Raw genomic sequence first — 23246 nt, forward strand, 5'->3', positions numbered from 1 at the left:
AAAGACTACACATTGGGGACAGCTTGGGTGATGGGTGCACAAAAATCTCAGAAATCACCACTAAAGAAGTTATTCATGTAACCAAACACTACCGATTCCCCCAAAACCTGTTGAAATAAAAAAGAATATAAAAAGAAAAAAAGAAATATTTATGGAGTCTGCACAGGTTATGACACAGCCCCAATTCAGAAAAGTGTGAAGGGTGTGTTGAGTCCCCTTTTTTCATGCAGGAGTTTCAGGTGTCCTGTGCTTAGTCTCAGAGCTGTGGTCCAGGCGCACTGTTTAAACCTCATCACAAAGCACTTCCAGCATGGACATTGTAGAATTGAATGGCTGCATGAAAAATCTGATGAGGGGTAAAAACAAATCCGTGAAAAGTGTCGTCACAGTTACCAAAACTGCTTAGCCAGCTGCAGGAAGCAAACAAATCCACTGAAACATTAACTCAGCCAGAAGGTTCCAGCTCATTGAAAGCAGGCTCATTTGTTTTCCTATTACGGCTGAACAGCATCTACCTGGGCTGTGTTCGCAGGGTTCCCGCAGCATCATGACAGACGTGGAGAAGGCTGACGGATTTATGACACACTGCCTCGATGACATATTTACCAAGTCTTGCTTGCAGAATTCCAGGAGCGGGAGGGCCAGAAGCTCAAAAAAGAAGAGGCCTGCTGGAACTTGAGCTCTCTGGGAAACTAATAGGGAGAAGGCTTCTGATGAGAGAAGTCTCTACTGAAATGCATGTTTAGGCAGCAGCACTTCTTATGGACAGAGGTTTCAGACTGGAAAGAGTTCTGCTGGGTATCAGGAGGAGGAGGTATGCCTTCTGGCGTTGAGGCTTCCTGCCTACATCACCATGAGGAAGTCACCTGACTTCTCTGAGCCTCAGTTTCCACATTGTGAAAAATAATATTAAGCCCCTTTCTACTCACAAGATTGAGAATGGTATGCCACAGAAATGTAAGGGCACTGTATATCATTACATATTCTAGTATTAAACATAATCATTATATATTCCTCATATATACTCTGTATATCATTACATATTCTAGTATTAGAAATAGTCATTTTATATTTCTTACATATACTCTTTATATCATTACATATTCTAGTATTAGAAATAATCCTTTATATTCCTTATGTATACTCTATATCATTACATATTCTAGTATTAGAAATAATCATTGTATATTCCTTACATATACTCTGTATATCATTATATATTCTAGTATTAGAAATAATCCTTTATATTCCTTATATATACTCTGCATATCATTACATATTCTAGAATTAGACATAATCATTATATATTCCTTACTTATACTCTGTATATCATTACATATTCTAGTATTAGAAATAATCATTATATATTTCTTACATATACTCTTTATATCATTACATATTCTAGTATTAGAAATAATCCTTTATATTCCTTATATATACTCTGTATATTGTTACATATTCTAGTATTAGAAATAATCCTTTGTATTCCTTATAGAAACCCTATATATCATTACAGATTCTAGTACTAGAAATAATTGTGATATATTCCTTAAACCTACCCTGTATATCATTACATATTCAGTATTACAAATCATCCTTTATATTCCTTATATAAACCCTTTATATCATTACAGATTCTAGTATTAGAAATAATCATGATGTATTTCTTATACCTACCCTGCATATCATTACATATTCTAGTATTAGAAATAATCCTTATATGTCCTAGAAGACAAGATGAGGCTAGAGACTATTTTTGAGAACTAATTTTCTTATTCTGTTTTTTTTTTATTTGAAAACAAAATGTCAAATAGAAGAGCAAGGAAGAAGGAATATGCCAAACTTTCAGCAAATATTGTACTGAGGGAGCTTTATGTAATTTTTCTCACTGAGTACTAATGAAACCCTTGTGACTTAGAGACTACAATCTCCACTTTGTGAATGAGGATACTGACACTCAGAGAAGTTAAGCAATTTGTCCAAAACTGCACAGCTTATTAGAAAATCCAGGATTTGAGCTGTGCTTGAGATGAAGTAGATGTTCAACAAATTATTTTTAAATTAAAAAAGGAACGACTGTCCCTAAAGCCAGAAATTTTTTCCTACTGTAATGCACATTTACACGATAGCCTTTATTTGTCTGAGTATCCGTTCATGCTCATCTATTCATTCAACATGCTCTCCTTTACTAACTGTGATGTGTAGGTCTCTATTGGAAATATAAAGGTAAATGAGACAAAATTTATTTCCTTGAGAGTTCGATAGTGCATAAGAAAGAAGTTGTACAGGAATTACTATAACATAAGCCCAAATATGTTGAGCAAATGAAAATTCCCAGAGATGCATTGCAGCAGAATCTGGAGGGATATTTAGGGCATGGCTGTACAGAGATGGGAGGAAGACAACACAGGCACCAGGAACAATCTGAACATGGGCTCTGGGGCAGCATTTAATACACGTCCAAGAGACAGGCATAGTTTAAAGGAAAAGTGGGTGGTAAGTTTGGTGATTTGGGTAGGATGCGCCTGCCAGCTTCTGTATCTATTTGGTAGCTGGAGCATCTGTCCAGCACCCCTAGATGCTCTCATCCTCAGTACGCTTTCTTCAGTTTCTTTGCTGCTAACTGGTAAAGGGAAGAGCAAATTGAGGCTTCAAAGTCTTCATTTTTTGAAAACATCTATAGATGACCAGAATGTCATTTTATGACCTCAGGACATACCAGTTTCCTCTACCAGTTGGAGTTTAGAAGAAATCTGTATGGCATTCTTACGTGGCAGTAATCAGCTAGAGCTGAAACATTAAGACAGCTCCGATAGAAAGATGAAAGGATAAAAGTTAAGTGTGCTGCCGTATATTTTATTTGGCCTGTCACCTCCATTTTATTCCAGGAGGTGTGTAGGAAAAGTGAAAACGCAATACTGGCAGTGATACATTTGGAGAAGCCAAAATTAAAATTCAACTCTGGGAAAATATTCATTTTCTGCCTCAGATTCTTGCAAACATTAATGACAAGACTATCATATTACAAATGAATTTGATTAGCATAACTCTGCCTAATGAATTAATTCCTTCTGTGGAACCAAGGTAAAAGTGTTTTTCTTCCCTCTTAATTATCTGTAATAGAGGCAGATTTGCTAATAGAAGTTATTTTTTTCACATTATGATGTATTTATTCAGTGGATTCTTACCTTGTGCGTAGATGAGTGAATAGAGAACATACTTAATCTCAGTATATGAAAATGTGGCCCTTCCATCTTCAGAACCAGAGGAAGCAAAAATTATTTTTTTCAGTTTGTTCTTAAGAAATTTATGGTCACATTAAGACGATATGTTACTCAGAGATATTTGATTTAAAAAAATCATTTTTTCTATGCCTTCATGAGTCTAAGAAAATGAATAAATTTTTACTTTGCTTTTAAAAATGAAAAATAGCACTGACATTTGCAAAGCAATCTGTCAATATGCATCAAGAAATTTAAAAATGCTTAATCTTTTAGAGCCAAAAGTTTCATCTCTGGTATGTGTCTTAAGGAAATAATCCTAAATATAGAAATTACAATGTGTATTTCAAGTACCATGTCATTTATGATGAAGGAAATAATTAGATAAGACTGAGATGTTCAAAAATAAGAGGGGAGTTATCTTTTAATGAAATAGCAGATATTTTAAAATGATATTCGTAAAGACTATACAAATTTGTTATAATATGGAAATGCTCATGGCATAGTAATAATGACCATGAGAACAGGTAGTAGTTATTGATCATTAATTTGTCCAGTGTTTTACATGCAATATTGCAGCATCACATAATCTCAGTAAGGTGGTATTATCCTTATTATCAGCACATATCTGATGACAACGCTAAAGCCTATAAAATATGAGAGATCTGTCCACGGTCAAATTAGTTTTGAAACCAGATTCTGCATTGTGCTGAGTCCCCAAGACCACCCTGAAGTCACCTACTGACTATAAGGAGTCACAGAACTCAAAATGGCTATTATACTCACAGTTACAGCTTATTACAGCAAAACTATAGTGATAAAAATCAGCAATGGCAAATGTGATAAAGTTCAAGAGAGACCAGGCACAATCTTCCAACTGTCCTCTCTCCCTGGGGTAGTACAGACAGGGCCTAATTCTTCCAGCCGAACTGTCTCCCAACATGTGAGTATTGCCAACCAGGGGAGCTCACCTATGCCTTGGTATTCAGGGTTTCCATTAGAAACCAGTCATATAGGCATGGATACCCATTTGGCTGACCTTAGTCACTCAGTCTCCTGCCCCTCCAGATGTCAAAGTGATGCAGCATAGCTCAAGGTCCCCACCCAAAATAGCATTGTTAGTATAAACTAGAGTGGCCAAAGTCCCCAGGTATACAAAGACCTTTTTATCAGGCAGGGTTTTCCAAGGGTTTAGAAGTTATCTCCCAGGAACTGGTCATGAGCCAGTCTTTTCTTTGGAATGTGCAGAATTTGAACACCCCTGACATGCTGGGCCAATCCTTTGCTGTACAAAAACCAACCAGACAAAAACCAGAGCCTGAATGTTTAGTCATTATGGATTCTGCCAAGCAGGAATCCACAGCCCTTTGCTGAGTACCTTCTGTGGGCCAAGAGGGTGTCTTATATTAAGGGTTATGAGGTTGAAAAAGAAATATTCCCTGCTATGGTAAGATGGACTGACTAGCAAGTCACTGTTGACTAGCATGTCATTGTTGAACAGCAAACCAATATTGCAAGTGGTACATGAAGGTAAAGAGACATGCACAGTGAGGAAGTAGGGCAAAGGCAGCATCCGGCAACACTGAAGGGAGAGAGGAGAAGGCTTCCCATTGAAGGTAATAGTTGAAATAATCATTAAATTGCAAGTAATAGTCAGGTAGAAAGATGTCTCTGGAGGGCTGTGGGGGAGGCAGAGGCACAGTAAATCTCATGAGTTAAAAGTAGTTAAGGTATTATTGCTTGTAACTGTATGTGAATCTATAATATCTCAAAAATTTAAAACAAAGTTCAATTAAAAATAGTGGTTAGCATCAGCTGGAATGAGGAGTAGAGAGAGGAGAGAGGCAAAAGTTAACCCTAGATGGGCAAATACAAGCAGATCATTAAGGGGCTTTGTGTTTCTCAGAAATGATGTATCTATTACAGGGAGTGATAGGCAGAAAGGTTTTAAGCCCAAGAGTAAGATGGTACTATTTTCACTTCATTAAAATAAGTCTAGCAGCAGAGTGTACCTTAGACTGGCAAAGTCTTGATGGAAGGTAGGCAGACTAGGTAGGTGGTGACTGCAAAAGTTTCCACTGAGTGAAAATGAGTTTCTAAACTAAGACAGTAGTTGTCACAGTAGAATACAAAGACATCATGGAAAAAGGTATCAAGAGGATTAGGATTTCATGAATGATTGGATATGGAAGTCTAATTATTTTATTTTTTTTTGAGACAGAGTCTCTCACTCTGTCACCCAGGCTGGAGTGTGGTGGCATGATCTCAGCTCGCTGCAAACCCCGCCTCCCAGGTTCAACTGATTTTCTTGCCTCAGCCTCCCGAGTAGCTGGGATTACAGGTGTGTGCCACCACCCCTGGCTAATTTTCATATTTTCAGTAGAGATGCATTTTCACCACGTTGGCCAGGCTGGTCTTGAACTCCTGACCTCAGGTGATCCACTCGCCTCGGCCTCCCAAAGTGCTGGGATTACAGGCGTGAGCCACCGAGCCCAACCAGAAATCTTATTTTTTTACCTTTGTGTCCAAGGCCAAGTAAATAATAATATTCAATTACATATGAACTGTAAAAAGGGAGCAGTTTTGGAACTGTAATTGAGACAATGCTGTATAGTCACCAAACTTGTTTACTTTCCCTCTGAGGCTCCCAGGAAGACTGAATTGCAGATCTGTGTGCCCAAGTTCCAGCTAATGAAATGTGGGCATACACGGGGAGTGCCACGTCCAGGACCAGCCTATAAGATCTCTCACAGGCACTTCCATGCTTTTTTTCCCCTGGCTTCCAAGTAGGAGAACTCCAGGGTGACATTGGAGCCGCAAAATGGAAGAAGCTTGGGATTCTGAATCACTACTGAAAAGGGAATCACCCAGCATGCACTAGATCATAAGGTGAGTGAGGAAAAATTCTCTGCTGTATTAAGCCTGTAAGGTGTAAGGTGTGATAATGTTTTCAATAGAAGTTAGCCTGCCCCAACTAAATTAGAAATAGGGGGTTATTGTGAAAACAAAACAAAACAAAACAAAACAATCAACAGTAGAAACTCATCATAATAAAATCAATATAATTAATGTCCTTTCCTTTGCAGCTGATCACAGGTGACAAGAAAGATATGGCTGGCTGAATGTCTAGAGAGCCATGCTTTACAGTAGCAAATAATCTGGCAAAATTTCATGATATTTAGAGGGCATGATATTCCATGAGTTTAAAAAGTGGTTATAAACAGATTTTACTACTGTGTACAAATTGTTATTGGTTGTATTTGGCAAGGATTAAATATAAGAAAAAAAAGTCAAAAGAATTAGCTGGTTAGTAAGCAGAAAAGAAAGAAAATGCAACAGTCCAAACATTCAGAATAGTACGGCGTTGAAAAAGCCAATTATTAACAGGCCCCAAGTGTAAAAGATGAAATTTTTAAAGGGTTTATGTGAAAGATCTGAAATAACTTCTTAATTTAACAAAAATACTCATTCCGGTGGCAAAGATCAGAATAAGGATGCGGCCTTCTTATGTATTGTCTCAGAATGCATCAAGATATTAGCTATTCTTTTCTAGAGAAAGAAAGAGACGTCACAGCAAAGAAGCAAAGGCATAAATCAGACTAGAGAATCATGACTTTGGAGAGAACTTTGGGTATGGTAACTGCCACACTACACTGACTGAAAAAATAATCAGACATCTGCAAAATTGTGAGGAAATTGTTTTGCCAAAAGTAAAATGAAGTTAGCATAAAAATAATAATAAAAGGAAAAAAGTATCTCCAACACTCAAAATAATTCTGCAACCACCTATCTTTCATGAGCAGAATCAGGCTAAAAAAGCTGCGAAGTTCTCAGGAAGAAAATATTCCTAATTCCTCTTCAGATGTAGTCAAGGGAGATTATAGTACAAAGGAACCCTCTAGAAGGTGGAACTGGTGTCCTCAGACTTCAATGAGCAGAAGACTTTCTATATGAGACCAGAGTAAAAACACAAAGGGGAACTTCTCATTCCTCTTAAGGTAGAAAACTTTCATAGTTTTAATTCAGTAAGAACTAGAATTACTATGGCCCAGGAGCTGATGTATGTTCCTTCCATCTCCTTTGACCAAATGCAAGTTTTATTGCAGTTCCCTGCATCATTCTATAACGGCTGGCAGTGGGGACTTGTAGAGAAAAATAACTCACATTTTCATTCAGGAGTCACTGAACTGCAAGGAACAGTATCTACTCTGATGGAAAAGACCATGTATTCTCATAGACCTGGGCTTTGGAATGGATGCTTTGTTTAAGTGGGACTTTCAGTCACTGCCCCTGGGGAGAAGGTAAAGTTGGCTATACATGTGGGGTTAAAGGGCCTTGTCTCTAAAAAAATCCCAAGTGGTGCCCCTGCCCCTTTTCTTCTTTCTGCCATCCCACAAAAAGGAACTTGAAGCTTAAAGCCTCCTGTGAAATATAGAAGAGGTATAGCACTGAAATAGCCTGGGTCCCTGAATGCCTCCATGGAGGCTGGCCTTCCCATGATAACCTTGAACTAAGACAGCACGAGTACTTAACTTTTCAGGGTTTGCATGTTACAGAAACTAACAGGAATTATTCTAATACGGGATGAAAGACTATGAGTTAAGTTTTGAACATGATGAATTAGAGATGCCCGTGAAACACTGAGGCTGAGATATAGATAAAGCAATTGTATTCTCTGTGTGTGTGTGTGTGTGTGTGTGTGTGTGTGTATAAAAGACGTAAGATAGTCACTAATTCTTTACTACTCCCTCCATTGAAAAACAGAGTCTAATTCCTTTGAATCTAGACTGTGTACAGGGACTTGCTTGACAAGTTCATGTACCCAGTGAAGCTAAGTCATAAAAAGCCTTGTAGCTTCTGTCTGGGTTCTTGTATCACTTGCTCCAAAAGCTTTGAGTGACCATATAAAAAGTCTGACAACCAGGCACAGTGGCTCATGCCTGTAATCCCAGCACTTTGGGAGGCCGAGGTGGGTGGATCACCTGAGGTCAGGAGTTCGAGACCAGCCTGGCCAACATGGTGAAACCCCATCTCTACTAAAGATACGAAGTTAGCTGGAGGTGGTGGCACATGCCTGTAATTCCAGCTACTGAGGAGTCTGAGGCAGAAGAATTGCTTGAACCCAGGAGGCGGAGGGTGCAGTGAGCCAACATTGTGCCATGGCACTCCAGCCTGGGCAAAAAGGAACAAAGCTCTGCCTCAAAAAAAAAAAAAAAAAAGTTTGACTACCCTGAAACCACCATGCTGGAGAGGCCATGTGTAGGTGTTCTGATAGACAGTCCGAGCTGAGTTTTCTAGCTGTTGCCTCCAAGGTGCCAGGCATGCCAGACATGTGAGCGAAGCCTTTCTGGAACCTCCAGACCTGTCCTCCTGCCAGCTGAATATTCCTGAGTTGCTACTGTCAATAAATGTTGAACAAAAGAAGTGGTATGCTGGTAAACATGCCCTTGGAGGAAAAAAAAATGAGTTTAGTGTTTTCTGACTTCTGTGATATAAATACCCCCACCATGGCTGGCTTTATGCTATTGAAGGTTTAGCTATAAAGCTCACAAATTTCTTGAATATTTAACAATTGGCTCTTCTGAGCTGATGCAAGCCAACTCCAGCATGTCTTGCTCAAATTTCTGAATCACAAAATCATAAGGTATAATAAAATGTCTCTTGCTCCAAGACACTAAGTTTTGGTAATTTTTTCTACAGCAATAGACAATCAGAAGAAAAGATAAAAGCATATATTTAGTAAGATTGTTCTATTGACTCCAAATCAGGGATTAGAAACCAAATCTGAGGACAAAGATATATACAGGACTTACACATTCTAAGAATAGCTGCAAACATTTGCAGTAAGAACCTCTTCAAGGCAACAAAAATCCAGCATCTCAATTATCATCCCCAAATTTCTATCAATATATGAAGATGGCCAAGGCAAGGAAAGGGGTTAGTGGTGGTTTTGGTAGTGTGATGCCGCCTGCTATCCTTCGCAACCATAGGTCCAACCCTACCGTAATCCAAATGGTCCCTAGACTAAAGAAAGCCTACTATCCATGTCCTTTCTTGGGCATCTGCTTCTAGGCAGCAGATAGGTTGATCTGCTCTGCTCTTATCTGTGCAGGTGGACAGAGAATTGGAATGAGACAAAAACATAACTTCATCCATTTACTTTGTGTATGGAGATTACATGTAACTTTAGACAGAACCTTCATGGGAGAGCAGAATAGGCAGAAAACGTGGTGTAGCATGTCAGAAAGAGAGTGGCGGTTTTGGTATGGAGAGACTAATCAATTCCCTTTTGAGGAAAGGGATCTAAGCTGAGATCTGAGCTTGCTGATTTGGGGACACTAGGGGTTGAAGAAGAAAGGGATAGCACTGAAGGTGATAACTAAAGAAAGCCCAATGAAGAGACTATCAGCCAGGTGGAGTGGCTCATGCCTGTAATCCCAGCACTTTGGAAGGCTGGGCACATGAAGGCCAAGGCAGGCAGATCACTTGAGGACAGGAGTTCTAGACCGTCCCGGCCAACATGGTGAAACCCCATCTCTACTAACAATACAAAGATTTATCGGGTGTGGTGGCACAAGCCTGTAGTCTCAGCTAGTTGGGAGGCTGAGGCAGGAGAATCTCTTGAACCCAGGAGGCAGAGGTTGCAATGAGTGGAGATCACGCCACTGCACTCCAGCCTGGGTGACAGAGCAAGACTCTGTCTCAAAAAACAAAAACAAAAAAACAAAAGACAAAAACAACAAACAAACAAACAAAACAATCTACAAGGTGGCTGGCATGGTTAGGGAAACCAGCTCCAGATGAGAAAGCAGCCAAGGACTGGCGCAGCAGGAAGGGGAGGAGCCTTTACCAGGACCTGGCAGAAAGCATGATCCTACGAGCTATGGCCTCAAGTGGAGGCACGTAGTCACTGGTGAGGATGAGGAGGAGGGCGCTCTGAGTCTGTTCTGGGTAAGTCACTGTGAAGGTCCTCAAGGATATTCAGCGAACATTTCTGGCTTTTCATCTTCCAGGCAAATAGTGGAGTCCTTCCTGGCCCCTTCATTGTTACGTGGGGCCATGCCATTATTTCCAGCTAGGGTGTGAGTGGACATGATGTGTGCGACTTAAAGTCACAGAACTGAATGATGGGATTGGAGACCTTCAGTACTCTTCTTCCCTCTGCATAGGGACAAGGCACCTTCTGGATCACAGGTATTTTATAAACCTAGGCATTGGAGCAAGGGCACTCAGAACAGAGCCCTGAGATGCCCTCCAATGGGGACAGACTAGAAGCAAAAAGTAAGCCTTTGCTTCTTTAAGCCACTTAAATTCTTTTTAACTATAGTGCAATAGCTGTCGTGACTGATAAGACATTTAAACTGAGACTTGTAGAACAAAAATGAGCTGTGGGATAGATTTTACTAAGTTAGAAAATGGTAAATGAGAAACCATCTTGACTGAGAGTTGCACTGAAAATGTGTTTGATAAATGGCTGAAATCCAAACAATGAAAACAATAGAACCATACACTCAAAACACATATGTTCTGGTCACTGATTTGCTTAGAATGATTAGGATATATATATAAAATATATTTATACAATATATAAAAAATATTTATTATATATTATATATTTATATAATAAAAATGTATTATATATTATAAATATTTATTATATATTACATATAATATATATCATATATATTTATATAATAAATTATTTATATCATAAATATATATATGATATATACATTTACATAAATATATATATGATATGATATATATTTACATAAATATATATGATATATATATTTACATAAATATATATAAAATATATATGATATATATATTTACATAAATATATATAAAATATATATGATATATATATTTACATCAATATATATGATATATATATTTACATCATAAATATATATGATATATATATTTACATCATAAATATATATGATATATATATTTACATCATAAATATATATGATATATATATTTACATCATAAATATATATGATATATATATTTACATCATAAATATATATGATATATATATTTACATCATAAATATATATGATATATATATTTACATAATATATATGATATCATATATTTACATAATATATATGATATTATATATATTATATAATATATATGATATATATATTATATAATATATATGATATATATATTATATAATATATATGATATATATATTATATAATATATATGATATATAATAAATATATTCATATTATATATAATATAATAAATATATATCATATATATTTATAGAAATTATATATTATATTATATATATTTATATAAATTTATATTATATCATATATTTATATAAATTATATATTATATCATATATTTATATAAATTATACATTATATCATATATTTATATAAATTATATATTATATCATATATTTGTATAAATTATATATTATATCATATATTGATATAAATTATATATATTATATCATATATTGACATAAGAAATTATATATATTATATCATATATTGATATAAATTATATATATATCATATATTGATATAAGAAATTATATACATCATATATTGATATAAGAAATTATATATATTATATCATATATAGATATAATAAATTATATATATTATATCATGTATATTGATATAATAAATTATATATATTATATCATGTATATAGATATAATAAATTATATATATTATATCATATATAGATATAATAAATTATATATATTATATCATATATATAGATATAATAAATTATATATATTATATCATATAGATATAATAAATTATATATATTATATCATGTATATTGATATAATAAATTATATATATTATATCATGTATATTGATATAATAAATTATGTATATTATATCATATATAGATATAATAAATTATGTATATTATATCATATATAGATATAATAAATTATATATATTATATCATATATATTGATATAATAAATTATATATATATTATATCATATATATGATATAATAAATTATATATATATTATATCATATATATGATATAATAAATTATATATATTATATCATATATATTGATATAATAAATTATATATATTATATCATATATATTGATATAATAAATTATATATATTATATCATATATATTGATATAATAAATTATATATATTATATCATATATATTGATATAATAAATTATATATATTATATCATATATATTGATATAATAAATTATATATATTATATCATATATATTGATATAATAAATTATATATATTATATCAATATATATTGATATAATACATTATATATATTATATCATATATATTGATATAATACATTATATATATTATATCATATATAATACATTATATATATTATATCATATATAATAAATTATATATGATATCATATAATAAATTATATATGATATCATATATAATAAATTATATATGATATCATATATTTATATAATAAATTATATATGATATCATATATATTTATATAATAAATTATATGTTATATTATATATTTACATAATAAATTATATACTATATATTTACATAATAAATTATATATATTATATTATATATATTTATATGATATTATATATTTACATGATAAATTACATATATTATATTATATATATATGTATATATCTCCCATTAGTTCTGTCCCTCTAGAGAACCCTCACTAATACAAAGACTAATGAAATGTAAAAGTTCATCTTTTTTTACATTGGCTGGTTAGAATTCTGCCACTTATGCCTATTCAACTTATGGAAGTTCATAAGTCTAATATCTTATAGCACACTTGACATTTGCCAACAACACTTCACCAACATTTGGCTTTAGCCAACTCCTATATAAAGGCCATTTTTTAGTAGTAGCCATTCTGACTGGTGTGATATGGTATCTCATTGTGGTTTTGATTTGCCTCTCTCTAATGATCAGTGATGTTGAGCTTTTTATTCATATAACTGTTGGCTGTATGTATGTCTGCTTTTGAAAAGTGTGTGTTTATGTCCTTTACCCACTCAAAAAGTAACAGATGCTTGCAAGGTTATGGAGAAAAAGGAACCCTTATACGCTGTTGGTGGAAGTGTAAATTAGTTCAACCATTGTGGAAGACAGTGTGGCAATTCCTCAAAGACCTAAAGACAGAAATAACATTCAACCCAGCAATCCCATTACTAGGATTGTCATGGGATTACTTGCTAAATATCCCTATCCAAACTGGTAATCCATTACTGGGTATACAAATACAAAGGAATAAAAATAATTCTATTATAAAGACGCATGCATATGTTCATTACAGCACTTATTTACAATAGCAAAGACATGGAATCAACCTAAATGTCCATTAATGATAGACTGGACAAAGAAAATGTGGCACATACACACCATGGAATACTATTGCAGCCATAAAAAAGAACAAGATCATATACTTTGCAGGAACATGGATGGAGCTGGAGGCCATTATCTTTAGCAAACTAATGCAGGATCAGAAAAGCAAATACCACATGTTCTTATAAGTGGGAGCTAAATGATGAGAACACATGGACACACAGAGGGGAACAACACACACTGGGACCTTTCAGAGAGTGGAGGATGGGAGGAGGGAGAGAATCAGGACAACCAACTAATGGGTACTAGGCTTAATACCTGAGTGATGAAATAATCTGTACAACCCTCATGACACAAGTTTACATATGTAACAAACCTGCACTTAAACCCCTGAACTTAAAATAAAAGTTAAAACAAGAAATAAAGAAAAGTCAATTTTTAAAATTTATAAGCTAAGAGCTTTCTTTCTAAGACTTTAAACGTTAAGCTTCCTATAACCTAACATATTTTACTTAACATATTTTAAATAGAGGTAAACTTGTAATTTTGAGTATTTGAGTTTCATTTGACTCATCCACCTAACTCACGGCTATGGAATAAAACTCAAAATAAGATAGTCTAATACCACACAAAAGGAATATTGTTTCAATTCAGTTCTACACTCATGTATTTATTGATTTGTGGGAATGGGAAGAAACTTTGATCCCACACTTGGAAGTGCCCCCACTTTGAGATCCTGCTGCATTATATATTTCATAATAGCTCTTTTGATATGACTTACTGTTCCTACTGGATTGTAACTACTTAAGGGCAAGGGCGAGGTCTAATCCTTAAGTGCCTTGTAAAGTACTTGGCCTGTGGTAGGTGTCTTTGAGCCACTAGTGTTTCTGAATGAACAAATTGATTTGGCAACCTGAGACACAGAATGACATTTCTGAATCATAAGTCTAACATTTATTAGCCAGGTAACCTTGATCAATGTATATATGTGATCTTTTTATTTGTGTGTGTATGTGTATGTGTCATATACAACACGTATGAGTTTTTAAAATGTCCATTTTTTCAAGAACAATAATTAAGAGTCAGACATTGTGAAGCATTCTTGCACTGAAACACAACTTGTTATTCACTTTCTCATGCAAACGCCATTTATCAGTAGTGGCCATCTCTCCCAAGGAATTACTTGCCCAATATCCCTACCCAAAACATATGGCTTTGGATATATTTAAGAAGCTTCATTTTCCTTGCTATCTTTGTCTGCACGTTTTTTATTGTCATCTGAGTGTTAACAGGTTTCTGGGAATCAATAGACGCTTTGCAAAGGCATTTTCTAGACCTCAAGGACTGGTACATCTTATAATTTGCTTCTTTGCTTATGCTATTCCTTTTCTTCCCAGTTGCACCTCTTCAGAGAGCTAGTGGCATTTCAACGAATGCTTGTCATTGGGAATAACTTCCCACTTTCAAAGGATATAATAATGCTGCAAAACATTACATATTTCTTTCTTGCTTATTTATACAACAAATATATCTTCAGTGTCTATTGCCAGTAAAGCCCCAAGAGTCAGGAAAACTAGGAAGCCTCAGTTAAAACCATCACCTTCACAGAGCCCATAATTATTTAGGAGAGCAACAGAGATCAATAAAGAGAGAATTGCAACATGGTGTGATAAAGAAATATCTTTATCTGTCTGTGAAGACATTATGGGATTACAAAAGAGTGGGACCATATCCAAGAGGTACGGAAACGATCTTGGAAGCCTTCCACAAGAAACTGTATTAGAACTAAACCGCAGAGATAAATCTGGGTTTGGGAGCAGATGGGAGGATAGATCCCTTAATGTACCCTCATTCATTTAATCAATATTGGCTTGGAACCTAGTCTGTGTCATATGCTATACAAAGTATCAAAAACATGACTTTGAATAAGAGAATCTACCTTCTTCTCAGCCGTCAAAGATCCTATTGCCTAGTAGTCAAGTGTTAGGGTATGAGTAACACAAGTCATGTTCAGAACACATAGCAGAGTTGGATGTGGGCAGGGTGGGCTTGGGGATGCAGCTCTGTGTGGGCTCCAAGTGGCTCAGATGCCAGACAAGGAGTGAGAAGAGAGGAAGACAGCAGCACTCACGGCAGATCCCAGAAGCTCTCCTTTGTCAGGCCAGGAAAACCGGGAGACAAAGAAACCAACCACTTCGTTTTCATTCATCGCAACAAATACTTAAATAGCACCTTGATGTGGTTTGGATGTGTGTCCCCACCAAAATCTCATGTTCAATTGCAATCCCTAATTTTGGAAGTGGGGCCTGGTGGGAGGTTATTGAATCATGGGGGCAGGTTTCTCAAGAATGGTTTAGCACCATCCTCTTGGTACTGTTCTCACAATAGTAAGTGAGTTCTCATAAGATCTGGTGGTATAAAAGCGTGTGGCACCTCCCCCGTCTCTCTCTCTCTCTCTTGCTCCTGCTCTGGCTATGTGAAGTGCCTGCCCCTTCTTCACCTTCCAGCATGATTTTAAGTTTCCTGAAGCCTCCCCAGAAGCTGAGCGGAACCCAGCAGCACGCTTCTACAGCCTGTGGAATCATGAGCCAGTTAAACCTCTTTTCTTTATAAATCACCCAGTCTAAGGTGTTTCTTGGTAGCAATGCAATAATGGATGAATAAATACCCAGGCACTGACAAGACAATTATGAGACAACCATACTCTGTGTCCTTAAGTATCTTGCTTCCCAGCAGAGGAGGAATTCATATACCAAGCTCAGTTCCAGGAAGTTTTCATAGAAATAGAAATAAAGTGAGGCCTTCATTCCCCCATTCGGAAGAAAATGGTTCCAACCAAGGTAGAGTGAATGGGATAAGAGAAGACCAGAGAAGAACGGATATTTGCTAAATCTTCAGGTCTGGTAAAGTTTCATCCAGTAGATAAAAAGCAAATCCACTGAAAGGAAGGGAGGAAATTAAATGATGATCAAAACGATTATAAAAATACCCTAATTCAAAATCGACTATGATGTAGAAATATGTCACTTGCATAGGCTTCTAATGAACTGTATTCACCATGCAGAGATCTGCAAAGATGGTTCAGCACACATGTTTAGATAAAAAGCACCCTCTGAAATATGTTACTACTTTTATCTGACTCAGCAGTGGAAATCTAGGATTATCTCTCAGAGAAAAGAGATTGTCCTTGTCTCCCTACAGCAAAATGGTATTTTTGGAGTGAAGGAAAACTATCAAGGGGCTAATTAAAAAGAGTTACTGAAGACAGGGTGCAAATCCAAGAGCTGAACAGTCAGAATTTGGGAAGGTGCTTTGCCTCCGCAATGTCTTCATCAACAGAAACAGGCAGTGTGCCTCTCGGAAAGCTGAAGAGTTAAATTCTTTAAGGAACAAATAGAAGAGGCCTACAGAATTCCACTTTCTACATAAAAAGGCACCTAAATATAAAAAATAAAGTGATTTAATATCGCCCTTGGAACCCAACTAGATTCCTTTGAAAAAATAATCTAGTTTTAAGTTAGGTCAGAATAGCAAGACAATGTTCCAAATACAGAAAATTTTTAAATAGTTTATTTCAATACATACTTACGTCTCTTGCGGGAAACTAATACAAAGATGGTGATGAGTTCCTATTCTCACAAAGTTGCTCATTAAATAGAATCAGTTCATGTATTTAATGATGATTCTTTGAACCTGGTGCTCACTAGGTTTGCTAGATACAGAGACAAGGGACACACAGGTCTTCTCTGCAAAAGATATCACCTTATAAGAAGGAGACGGGAGCACAGCAGTTGTAATATGATGTGAGGTCTGCAATAGAAATACACACACGATGTTAGGATTGCAGAGGAGAATCAAGCAAGCCACTCTGCAGATGGGGGATAGGAGATATCAAGAAGGGCCTTGAAAGTAGGGGAGGTTGCAAACAATTGTAAAGTAGGAGAAGATGTAAGACAAATAGGACAAGGTAGAGCAGCAGAGGGAGAAGCCTTTCGACCTTAGGAGATAGCATCAGCAGACACTGAGAAGCCAGAGGAATGTACTCCAGCCAACTGGTCAGAGATCGTGGAGCACAGAGCACTAGTCAGTGTGTGCTGAAAGACAAGATGGAATAGGTAGAAAGGCACCACTCCAGTGGGGTCTGATGTACCCTGCTAAGATGTGTGGGCTTTTCCTATCAGCAACGGGGTGACATTGAAGGGTGTGAAGCGAGGAATTCAAGTGATAAAGATTGAGGGGAACAAGACTGATAACAGAGCCTGGTTAGGGGTGTCAGAGCCCTGGGTAAAGGTGGGCTCTGTTGCCCAGAGCTGACTTATCTCATCACTTAACCTCTCTAACTTCCAGTTTTCTCCTCTGCAAAATAGACATAATAATACTTACCACAGTACTTGCTACAATGACTCAATTAGAAAAGACATAGTATATTCAATTAAATAAGGTAAAGGAAGCCCTTCCAGCACGAACAGTACACGGTAAGGACCAAGTCAGTGTTGGGAGGGTTGTGTGACATGGGATGTGTGATATGATGAAATTTGAGGTGGCATTTAAATTAATATTTTTAATAACTATGTACTCATTGTATACTGGAAAAATTATAATTTCATATGAAACTGATGTTTTCATTCATATTGTTGAGCAAAATTTTAGCTAAGTTTGAAAAGATTAGTCTATTTTTAACTACATGAATAATAGTGGAGTTGCTATAGATATATGACGAACACAGCAGAAGAAATTCTGAGGTGGTTTGAAAATGTAGGAAGTTTAGAAAACCAAACTACCACGGGTAGCTTTCAATAAGGCTGTTGAAAGTGATACTTACAGGAGAAGATGGGATTTAAAGTAGGTCCACAATCACATGATGTGAAGGAGCGATCAATTTGCAAAATACTTAGTAGGGCAGTCAGCATGAGTGGTGATTATTTGAATGGAGGAGAAGGAAAGAAAGAAGGCATCTGATGAATGAGAACCGAGTCTGGTGATTGTCCATTTGGACAGTGGGGACCCAAAGCCTTTTAGTCGCTTAGAGAATACAGGGGAAATTGTGTTTAGATGCAAGCATTCCTCCTGTGTCTGCCCTGCCTATTGGATATTAATGTAACAAGCCAGATTTATAGGCTTAGAGTTCACAAAGGTGATATGTTACAAACGAAAGATGAATATCTGAGAATTTGTTTTTGTGTGTTTTGTTTGTTTGCTTTTGTTTGTTTGAGACAGAGTTTCGCTCTTGTCATCCAGGCTGGAGTGCAATTGCACAATCTCAGCTCACTGCAACCTCCACCTCTCGGGTTCAAACGATTCTCCTGCCTCAGCCTCCTGAGTAGCTGAGATTATAGGCACCCGCCACCATGCCCAGATAATAATTTTTGTATTTTCATTAGAGACAGGGTTTCGCCATGTTGGCCAGACTGGTCTTGAATTCCTGACCTCAGGAGATCCACCCGCCTTGGCCTCCCAAAGTGCTGGGATTACAGGGGTCAGCCACCATGCCCAGCCTTGTGTGTGTGTGTGTGTGTGTGTGTTTAATGTTTATTTAGCATTTACTATGTACTTTGTCATACTAGACAATGGATATACAATTTTAAGTTACACAGATATATTCTATCTTCCTAGAAGTTTTGAAGAGGAAAAAAATCCTAAACAACCCATGAAATTGTATAATTTAACATCATAACTAGTGTTATGGAGGAAAATGGTGGGAGGATATAAGATTGAGATTCTGTCAGGTGCAGGGAAGGCTGGGCTCCTTTGATGAAGAAACTCTCAAGTAAAACCCAATGGTGAGAACCAGCGAGTTGGGCAAGGAGTGTTTCGCATGTAGGTTGGGGCTGAAACTGTGAGAACAGCCATAAGGACCTGTGATAAAAATAAGTAAACTAAAGTAGCAATAAATTAAAGGTCAATTCTGAAAATTACTGCTCTTTGAAGAAGCTGAGAGGATCCTACAAGGCATGGGTCTCAGAGAGGCACAGGAGAGGGTAGGCTCCTAGAGTAGCTGAGAGCTCTGAAGAGGAGGAAAAAAGTCACCTTGTCAAATGCTGGCAAAAGTGGCCAATAAAACAGGGCCAGCTGAGCATGGTGGCTGACACCTATAAACCCAGCATTTTGGGAGGTCAAGAAGGACAGTTCACTTGAGGCCAGGAGTTCAAGACCAGCCTGGCCAACATGGTGGAACCCTGTCTTTACTAAAAATGCAAGAATTAGCTGGGCATGGTGGCACACAACTGTAGTCCTGGATATTTGGGAGGCTGAGGCACAAGAATCACTTGAACTGGGGAGGCAGAGATTGCAGTGAGCTGAGATGGTGCCACTGCACTTCAGCCTGGGTGACAGAGTGAGACCTTGTCTCAAAAAAATTAAAAAAATAAAAGACCAATTTTGACTTGGAAGAGATCTCCCCAAATAATGTTGATTGAGAGGAGAATGAATGGAGGTTGTTCCCATACCTCCAGCCCCGCTCCATGGGGGTCAGGAGAGGATGTGGGGACCTGCTGGTAGTTGTTAATTGTCATGTGACCTTGGATGCCTTGTGATTCTTCTCCGAGTCTCAGATTTTTAATCTGGAAAACAAGGTCAAAATATTGTTTTAAAAACATGCCAGATACTATATAAGTGCTAGATAAAGAAATTAGAAAATGTACATTGACAGATGCAAAAGAAAGTAAAATCGGATATGGTTGGTACTTGTAACTTCAAAAATGCCAAACAAATGTGGATTTCCTTTTTCTTCCCCATCATATGTATACAGCACAACTCAAATTATCACCTTGGGGAAAAAAAGAAATGAAAAGTGGAAAAACTAATGAACAAACAACAAGAACAAAACTCCCTTTGATGTCTAAGTAAAGAACTGATATTTTCCTTTCCTGGACTCCCATAACAGTTTGTAAACACCTGTCTTGTCATACTAATCATGTTGGATAATAATTGTTGTTAATGCACCTGTTTTCCTCTCAAAAATAAGATTTATTTTCCTGGCTATGCATTTGATTTGTGTTTGCACTTCTAGTGCCAAGCACAAGAAATGTGCAATTTTCAATTTTGATGAAAAGCTACCATATGTAATTAGAGTAAATTAATGATCCCCATGGAAATAGTATTATTTCATACATTTTACATTGATAACCTGATACAGCTCAGATAAATGATGTGATTTGCCCACAGTCTTCCAGCTCATTTATAGCAGAGCTGGGATTCCAACCCCATGCCCTTTGAGTTTAAATAGCATGCTATTTTAATACCAGCATTCTGAGAAGTGAGAACATGAAAGAAAGATGGGGCCAGACAGAAAGTCGTGTGGGTCTCTAGAAAGCAGGAGAGAGGGGTAAGTGAGTGCAGAATGATTCTGCTCCTGCCCATCTCATTCTCTGCATTTTCAAAGCAGGGTAAGTATGCACACAGTTCAGAATTACCTCCATAATTACACATAAATAAGTAGCCCAGTAATTAAAACATGAACTGCAAAATACCAGGGTAATCATTATCTTTGGTGATGGAAAGAGAAAATAAGATTGTACGTGGAGACTTCAGCTCTCTGTAATGATTTGTTGTTGTTTTTCTAAGAGCTGAAATGATAGCATTTGTTAAATTTAGATGACGAGTACACAGGTGTTGATGTATTCCATACTTTCCTCAATATTTGAACTATTTCAATTTTTTTTTTTTTTTTTTTAAGACATGCAGTGTCTCTCCATTCTCTCGTCAGCACACAGGAATCTGGCGCCCTCACAAGTTCACACAACAGAAAAACAGCAGGAACAAAATGACTTTCAACCAAGACCAAAGGACAAAGTGAGGGGCGGCAAGATCCCAGCAGGAAGGGCAACAGGGTCTAGAAGAGAGTGAAATTCTTATGAGGAGAGTTGAATTTTAGGGTAGAGAGTTTCTGAGGGACAAACGGAAGGTCTACTCTTGGGAAGCCCCAGAAGTTTGGAAGGAAGGACGGCCAGGCTTTGAGAGCTGTATCTGAACTTTTGAGATTGCTCTGCTTCCCAGAGGCAGCGGGGTAACTGTCCTACTGTTCAGTAATCAATCTTTATGGGAAGAGTCTTTCTTCTGCACTAGAAAAATTGAAATGCCCCCCAGAAAAAGAATTGGAAACTTTTCTTTCCTCTCTGTAAAAGCCTGATAATCCTCTGATAAACTTCTCTAGGCAAAGAGAAAAAAACTTCCCCAGGCAAAGAGAACAAAAACTTCCCCATTTCCATTGCATATCAACATTAACAACAACATGTCAACGCGAATGATTTTCTAAGCCTTAGAAAGCAATAAAAATGTGGAGACACAGCGCAACGCCCCTGAGATTATAACGCTCATATCTTATAGTTTTTAGCAACTATCTGTTGTGTGTTCACACTGGATAATATACATTTTTAGACATTCAGAATTGACACTCTTCCTCCTTTATGCCAGAAAAATAGATGGTATTGACTCAATGCTGTCACCTTGTGGTCATATATCATCAGTCGTCTGAACTGGAGGATTTTTTTTTTCCTCCTTATCTCTTAGTTTGTGATTTCCCAGAGCAGAAGTGGTAATTAACATTTATGGAGAAAGTCCTTTATTTTTTCTGATGAGATATCAGGTATTTTCATTAATTTTCACAATGCAATGAAACATCACCTTATTTTCTAGTCTTGTGGGGAATGGGGAACAGGCTGAAGGAGGATAGAAGTCTTGCAGAATGCCTTGGAGCCTGGCACTGTGGAGGTGAGATTTTAGACTCAGAACTTCTGATTCCACATCCTCCTCTTTTCTCAGTGTACGGCATACCCCTAGGAAAACTTGTCTGTCTGTCTTACGAGACAACAAGCTACTAAGTTGTCATTTATATTTCTGGAAATCAAATAGATATTTAAAATATCAGATAGATGCTTAAAATTCATTCATTCATTCATTCATTCATTCGTAAAACACATATTTGGCAACTACATGCTGCCAAAGCATTTTATTAGGTCATGCTGGAAATGGAAACTAATCACATAATATCAGCTCTTTGGTAACAGCCTAGAAAAGATGACCACAAGCAGAACTAAGACATCCTAAGCAGCAGCAAAGAGATCATCATGGCCACTGTGCAAATTTCACATTATAAAAAATGGTCACTTGGAAATAATTGAGCATTGAATTTAAATTCTCTGTGCAGCGGCCTCAGTTCTCTAATTTGATGTGTGAAAGGCTGGCAAGATATGCAGATGTGTCCCTTGCCCAAACCATTTGAGCATTTCAACTTACTTTGTTGTAGAGCTGTATTAGTTAGGTTAATTAATGCTAACTGCTGCCACAGAGAAGCCCAGAAATCTCAGTGGCTTCATGCAATAAAAGTTTGTTTTTCACTTGTATCACAGTTTGATGTGGATTCAACAGCTGTTTTTTTATCTTGTACCTTGTTTCATCTTGAATCTCCATCTGGAAGGCATGACCCCCAAGGTTGCTGCAAAAGGGAGAGGAAAGAATGGGGGAGGCGTGCCAGGCCTAACAGTCACTTTGGTTTTCAGGCCATTGACTGGAATTGGTCCTGTGGCCCCATCTAATGGCAAGGGAGGCAGAGAAACAAGGGGAGTGGCATCAGATGCAGGGAGCCTAATTATACACCAGGGACAAAATCAACATAAGTGACAGGTTGCCTATGAGTTTGCATTCTCTGAAAACTTGGGCAAAATAATTATGAAAATCGGCAAATG

General features: G+C 36.6%; 1 long non-coding RNA gene across 2 annotated transcripts; it reads left to right on the top strand.

Annotated features, from left to right (window-relative positions):
- Positions 1 to 4761: 4761 nt before the first annotated feature.
- Positions 4762 to 21321, top strand: LOC107986181 (uncharacterized). 2 transcript variants are annotated; one of them, XR_001741376.2, is made up of 3 exons: positions 4762 to 4837; positions 6012 to 6110; positions 21239 to 21321. It is a non-coding gene; the product is annotated as an uncharacterized LOC107986181 (long non-coding RNA). The 2 variants fall into 2 exon arrangements; XR_001741377.2 differs by lacking the exon at positions 4762 to 4837 and adding an exon at positions 5531 to 5562.
- Positions 21322 to 23246: the final 1925 nt, after the last annotated feature.

The sequence above is a fragment of the Homo sapiens genome, chromosome 4 (assembly GCF_000001405.40).
Source record: "Homo sapiens chromosome 4, GRCh38.p14 Primary Assembly".
NCBI classification, from domain to species: Eukaryota; Metazoa; Chordata; class Mammalia; order Primates; family Hominidae; genus Homo; species Homo sapiens.